Consider the following 7,674-nt stretch of genomic DNA (forward strand, 5'->3'; position numbering starts at 1 on the left):
AGATATCCCTCCAGACGAGTTCAAATGTGCAGGCCAGTTTACAGAACCCTTTGATGTACTTGTCAGTGACTTTCATAAACTTCCCTAGTTCCATTTTAGTTTGGCTCAGGTTTTGCATAATGAATAGGTCTGGACTCTAGTGGGTCCACTGGGGTCACTAACCTCTTGAAGGGGGCATAACTTAAGGGAGTGGTATAGAGGATGGTCCTGGGTACAGAGGGGAAGGGTCTAGGGCTCAGATACTTAGAAATAATGGGATAGAAGGAACAGTGGGGTTTGGGTTTGGCTGTGCTCTTTGTTCCTCCAGGGCTTGAACTTTGGGTAAACCCAATAAGAGGTTTCCTGAGCCAACCAAAGAAGCTGCCTGACCATGGTTTCTACCATTGCTGGATCCATTTTGCAAGCCTGAAAAAGGTCAGGGTTGTCTCTTCAGGCCATGAAGGTCTGTAGATGGGGAATTTCTGTCAATTTTTCTTTCTGGAGACAAAGCAATCTAGTTGATAGATTGTATTAAAAGTTATTCTTCCATTTTCTAGCCAAGATTCCTGGTTCCAGAGCTTATATTCAACCCAGCATGCATTACAGAAAAAATATTAGCCCTTTTCATATTAGAGTTTTGGGGCCAAACTTCTTCCAGTTGTTGAGGATGTATCCGAGGGGTGTATTCCGCAGCATGGATGTGTGATTTCCCATCTGTAAAGAGAGAACAGAGGAGGAAAAAAAGAAAAAGAAGGCATCCCATCTTATTTTTCTATTATCGTTTACTGAATAGGGCACACCCCATTTGTCCTTAGGGTTCTGGAATAAACAGTCTTACTGCATACCCTTATCCTTGGTCCCATCTTGTCATGATTACCCACTTGAGAACAGAGGAGATACCAGAGTAAATAGGGGACATCCTATTCATCCTTGGAGTTCTGAAATAAAATGGTCTTACCCCTGACCTTGCCTTTATCTCTGTTCTAATGTTAATATGTCCTGGGGCCAGCTTTTGTCTCTGTCCTAAGGGGACTTTTATCTTTTGTTCCTGCAGCGTTGGGCCAGCCTATATCATTGTCTTCATGACCTTATAGTGACTCTCAGAACATTCAACAACAAAAGGATTATGTCTTTTTCCAGATTCCTGTGTTTTTTAAGTAGACAAGAAGCCTCTTTTTTCAGCCAACTGCTGCAAGGGGGCTTGACTTCCCTCCCTTTGCATATGACCTTGAAAGTCTTGATGTTTATTGAGAAGGGCATGGAAATGATTAAAGAAATGAAGGAAAATTTGTATTTGGGGTTCTTCATCCTCCAGGGATAATATGCAGAACAAATGCTTAAGCAAACAGGTAAATCCCTCTGCTACAGGAGGAAGTTAGAGGAAGCAATATGGATACCAAGGGAAATCCTTTACATGCTCACAAAAATAGCAGCCCTTGTATTCAAAAGGTCAACATTTATTTGCCCTCTTGTTGTAAAGGAGGAACCTTTGGAGGACTTGGGACTTGGGATAAGGGCTCACAAATGGCAAAGGAAGAATTTTCCCTCCTCCAAAAGGATGCTAACTCAAAACAAACAAACAAACAAACAAACAAGTAGGTAAGGTCCTAAAAGGGTCGTAGAGTGAGGCCCTATGCATGTGGACAAAGTGTTTCAAAAGCCACAAAAATAACTTGGCCCTGTAGTGTAACAGAGATTCCTAGTTAGGAATCATTCCTCTAACTATGTCACTAATTAGTTGACTTTCAGTTAATTAAAATGGGGATTACCTTGGTGGTCCTGACCTATCCAGGTGAGCATTGAAAGTGAGTAGGATTATCTGTAAGATAAGAATTTGACAGGAGTGAGATTCTTTGTTGCTAGCTTCAAAGATGAAAGAACCACATGACAAGGAAATGAGAGCAGTACCTAGCAGTTGAGACTAATCCTTGGCAAACAGCCAGCAAGAAAATAGAAACCTGAGTCTTACAACAGCAAGCAATTAATTTATGCCAACAGTATAAGGCAGATCAGAAGAAGATCTTTCCTTAGTTGAGCCTCTAGATGAGAATACAATTTAGTGATTCCTAGATTTCAGCCTTTTGATCCCCTGAGATAAAATATCCCAGACACAGGATGCAAGGAATCTGTGAAATAATATTTTGTTGTTTTTTGTTTTTGTTTTTTGTGTTTTTGTTTTTTGAGACGGAGTCTCACTCTTGTTGCCCAGGCTGGAGTGCCATGGCGCAATCTCCACTCACTGCAACCTCCCCCTTCTGGGATCAAGCAATTCTCCTGCCTCAGCTACCCAAGTAGCTGGGATTGCAGGTGCCTGCCATCACGCCCGACTAATTTTTTGTATTTTTAGTAGAGATGGGGTTTCACCATGTTGGCCAGGCTAGTCTTGAACTCCTGACCTCAGGTGATCTGCCTGCATCGGCCCGCCAAAGTACTGGGATAACAGGGTAAAGTCACTCCACCCAGCCAATATTTTGTTCATTTAAGTGCTAAGTTTGTAGTAATTTGTTAATGCAGCAATAGAAAACTTGCAGTCAATCTTTATCAAACTACGTGCCATTTCAGGAACATGGTGTTCAACGTCTTTTCCCAGTCTCTTAACACCTAGTATTACTCCTTCCTAGATGCTCTCTCTAAACTCAAAATTTCTTTAACCACATATCATCCACTAGATTTAAAAGAATAATTATTAAAATGTTATAACCTTTGTGAAATCCCTTGAAAATATTGTGTCCTCACTATTTTTCATGTGTATATTTGTTGCAATGTAATTAGTTTTACATCTATGTTCCTTACTCAACCCTATTTATTGTGGACAGAACTGTATAATAACCATATTTGTAATCCTTAATTAGAGCATTTATTCATTCATTCATTCACTCATTCAGCTACTTGGGTAGCTGAGGCAGGAGAATTGCTTGATCCCAGAAGGGGGAGGTTGCAGTGAGTGGAGATTGCACCATGGCACTCCAGCCTGGGCAACAAGAGTGAGTTGCAGTTATAAATAAATGAGTGAATGAAAGAATGAATACTTTATACTAGATTCTACTTTGCTTCTATATTATGTCTACTTATATCTCTCAATTTAGAGTCCTGCATTGTCATAATACAATATTACAAAAATGGTACAGCCTAATTTATTAAATTCAGTGATGAGTTAGGAATTATTTCATACTTCAGTTGTGCATTTAATCTTGTTTTAGGGGAATGTTGTATCTTTTTTTTAGTATGTAGAAGTAGTTATATGCCTCATTATTTATAGTTTAAAGATTCGTATAGAAAGAGGTATGTAAAAATCTAGAGGAAAAAAACTCAGAGCATGGAACAATGACTAGGAAGACACTGTTGCTAAAAAGTGTGTGTGTGTGTGTGTGTGTGTGTGTGGTTTTTTTTGTCCTAAATTGTATCAGCCGGAAGATTTCAATTTGCAGCTGTGAAAGAAGTATGTAGAGCAGGGGTCTTCAACCCTTGGGCTGTGAAATGGTACTGTTTCGCGTCCTGTTAGGAGCGGGCTGCCAAGCAGGAGGTGAGTGGTGGGTGAGTGAGCACTATAGCCTGAGCTCCTCATCCTGTCAGATCAGTGACATCATTAGATTCTCATAGGAGTGCAAACCCTACTGTGAACTGAGCATGTAAGAGAGCTAAGTTGCACACTCCTTATCAGAATCTAATGCCTGATGATCTTCTGAAGTAGAACAGTTTCATCCCCAAACCATCCACCACCCTGGTCCATGGAAATATTTTCTTCCGTTAAACTAGTCCCTAGTGTCCAAAGGTTGGGGACTGATGTCCTAGAGGACAGTATGAAGTAAGAAACTTTATTTTCAATTGTCCTTTTACAATATGCAGCCATTTCTTTTGACACCAGGGTAAACAGAAGTGAGACGCTTCTCTGCAGCCCTAGTTTATCCCTGGGATCTTTGTTGATCTTCCTATGTTATTCTTAGTATTCTGTTTTCATCTTCTCTGTACTTTATGATTCCTAGCTATATATTTTATTTTCTGATATATTTAACCAGCTTTCTTGAAACTTAACATTTCTGTTTAACTCTTTCATTCACTAGCTTATTTCTTTTCTAGTTCACTTTCTTTCCTTCTTAAGTCAATTTCTGAGCATATATTTGGTGGCATTAAGATTATTATAAAGTACCTAATTTTTGTTATCTATATAAATGACATGCCTGACACCCATTTATGATAAAACGTGATTTGCTTATTATCAATATCAATACCGAGATCATTGAGCCAGCCAGCTGCAATTGAATAGTAAAACTTGAGAGCTGAAAGGACCTTAAAGATTATTTAATAATGCAGTTCCTGCATTTGCATACAGATAAGGTAACAGATAAGGTCAGTAGAAGCTGAATTACTTGTGTAAGTTCACATAATTAGTATGAGGCAGGAAAAAATTTTGTTCTTTGATACATTTGAAAAGTTTTTTTAAAAACATTCCACTGTTTCTGTTAGTCCCAGGAGCCTCTTAAAAGTAAGGAGATATCAATAGTACCATGAAATGCTAATATAGTGATTATTATATGGCAGGGGTTATTAAAGGAGAGAGGTAAACTAGAGATATATATGATATATATTTGTGCATAGAATATATTTGCAGCCATAGATGGTGATGTATATAAAGATAAATTGGTATAGAACTGAGCTTTGAGTGATTCTATATTAATAGGGGGGATAAAAATAGAGTAGGGGGATTCTCTTAAGATGGAGGAGTAGGAAGTATATCTGTCTCCCCCGACACACAACTATTGCATGGGGAGTATCTGTGTGATGCAGGTACTTTGGAACTCTGTTGATGACCTGCAAGTTCCAGTAGATGGCTTGGATGGTAAATTACAGTTAATTTCAGACTATTTTAACTCTTACCACAATAGCAATTACCTTTTATCTACCTTCAGCCCCAGGGCAGACAGCTGTGCATGTATTCTTGAAGTAACCTACACACAGTTTGTGAAAGCCAGGGTGGGCAAAAAATTACCCTGTCCTCCAAATACAGGAGATCTGTGTTCTGATAGTTGACTGGTGTTTTGTATCACATAGATACAAATAGGTGAGAAGCCACTGTTGTACCTTCCATATTGTTGAAAACCCCTCCCCTTCTGGGTGAAGTAACTTCCAGGGGATTTAAAAGAGCAGCACTCTTTTCTCTGTCTTCACTTTTCTCTTTTTCCCCTTATGTGAGTCAAACATTAAAAAGTAGGACATTCAACTGCAAAAGCAGCTGCATATAAGAGAAAATGATCTTGAAAGTTCAAGGAAAGGTGCTGCTCAGAAAAGACCGGAATAGACCTTATGACCTTAAATTTACACCTCAGGCTGCTCCATGGCACAGAGTCAGTCTAAAAACAGTTTTGCAAAAAAACATCAAAGCAAAAGCAAAACAAAAGAAAAACAAAAATAACAAAAAATAGCAAACTTTATCAGAGCATACTCTGATTCCCAGAATTATTATATTAGATCCAAATGTGTAGTTTTCAACAAAAAAAATCACAAAGCATAAAATATAACATTAAAGTTTTTTTATATTATTGTGGTTAATAGAGTTATTGAGCAGAGTTTTTTGCATGCTATTGAAGTTAAACTGTTATAAATTCAAATTAGAGTGTTATAACTTTAGGATATAAAGTAATCTCATTGGTGACCACAAAGAAAATACCTGTAGAATATATACACAACACAAAATGAGAAAGAAAATTAGACTATGATATTTAAACACTAAAGAAGACAGTAATGAAAGAAATGAGGAACAAAATAGTTATAAGGCATATCAAAAGCAAATTGCAAAATAATGAAAGTAAGTCTCTTATTATTAGTAACTACTTTAAATGTAAATGGATTAAACACTCCAATCAAAAGACAGAGATGGAATTGATAAAAACGTAACCCATCTATTTGCTGTGTACAAGAGACTCACTTTAGATCCAAAGAAACAAATAGGTTCTAAGTTAAAATTTAGAAAATGTTATCCCTTGCAAATAGTAAGTAAAAGAGACTACAAGAGACTCACTTTAGATCCAAATAAACAAATAGGTTCAAAGTTAAAATTTAAAAAATGTTATCCCTTGCAAATAGTAAGTAAAAGAGAGCAGGGGTACACTAATATCAAAAAAACCCATTAAATTTAAAAGTTTACAAGAAAAAAGGACATTAAATGTTAGTAAAAGGCTCAAAGAATAAAAGAATATAATGATTATAAATATCTATATATCTAATGACAGACTATCAAAATATATAAAGCAAAAATTGATAGAACTGAAAACTATCATTAGTGCAGATACATTTAGGATTTCAGTTTTACATGTCAAAATTATTAGTATTCTTACTTGTGATTTTCTTCCTATACATTAAGATATTTAAAAGGGCAATTCCTTGCTGCCATACTTTTACTTCTAAGGTAATGAGGTGTTGATTGTACTTAAAGATTATAAATACCTATTTATAATCTCTTCACATGATTAAATATGCTGAAGGAGACAGATATTCATAATATAATTACAAAACAAGCAATGATCTGGTAAATGCTTAACAGTGGTTATAGAGGACAAAGGGGGAAGTGATTGATTTGTTTTGGTTGAAGGGTAAAAGTGGAAATGCTACATAAACACTTTAAAACTGGCCCTTGAAGATAAAGCAGGAGTTCCCTGTGTATTCCCTACAAGGTAATGTCTCAATCCATATCATAGAGACCAGGAACTATAGATAATGGTGGGCAACCTATTGCAGTTGAAGTTTGTAGAGTTGAGTATTTATGTGTAGAAAAGAAGAGGTAAAGATATAATAATAAATTCAAATAGAGGAAAAACATTTTTTAATGATTTCTGTTAGACATAATTATTAAATGTTTTAAATATCCTATTCAGTTTATTCTGACAACATTGTGAGGTAAATGTATGAACTTCATTTTCCAGATAAAGAAATGGAGGCATAGGAAAGTAACACTTCCAGCTCCAAATAGCACAATTTTAAATGACAAATTTATATTTCAAAAGATTCAAAGATAAGTCTGTTTCCAAAACCTACACACTTCTAAATATGTAACAATGTCTACTCTAAATACACAGGCCAGGTAAATAGTTTGAAATTCTCTAGCTAATAAATTATTTTTTTAATGCAGAAAATGGTTAAGATAGAGGTTTCTCAGTTAATTATTAAGGAAAGAAAATGAACTGACAAATTTTTTGGTCAAAAAATCAAATAGAAACTTTAAAGAAGTCATTGAAAAAAATTCATAGCATGAGCAGCATTTAGTAACGTGCTTCCCCAAAATTAACAGTAGACAATGCCAGATTTGATGAAAAACATCATCTTCTAAATGTAAGGATAAAAGCACTCTTCTAAGTTGAATTTAGTTGCGTATTGAAATTCTATGTTTCAATTAATATATTCAACTATTTACTCTTATATCTTCTTTTCAACTAATGACATAAATTATCATGATGCTTGTTTGATGACATGGCAGCCCTTGGGAAAAAGCACACACATGCAAATGAAGTAGAATGTATTTTGTGTTTTGGGCTTTGCATTCTTATTTTTCTTTCCTGAAAATAGTAATTAAATATCATTAGAGATAACATTTTGTGTACATGTTCACACGGATGGATTTCAAAATAAATACACATGAATGTTAAGTTATTTTTTAGTTAATGTTCTTTGCTTAACAAAAAACAAGAGATAAAGTACAATGGT

The 7,674-nt window shown here is 35.8% G+C and overlaps 1 annotated feature.

Moving 5' to 3' along the window:
- Positions 726–1,301: an enhancer, noted in NCBI's record as "OCT4-NANOG hESC enhancer chr14:43133320-43133895 (GRCh37/hg19 assembly coordinates)". NCBI's record gives its function as "activates a minimal SCP1, AML or CMV promoter by ChIP-STARR-seq in naive H9 embryonic stem cells {active_cell/tissue: H9 hESC(naive)}" and the evidence as "EXISTENCE:reporter gene assay evidence [ECO:0000049][PMID:30033119]".

The sequence above is a fragment of the Homo sapiens genome, chromosome 14 (genome assembly GCF_000001405.40).
Source record: "Homo sapiens chromosome 14, GRCh38.p14 Primary Assembly".
NCBI classification, from domain to species: Eukaryota; Metazoa; Chordata; class Mammalia; order Primates; family Hominidae; genus Homo; species Homo sapiens.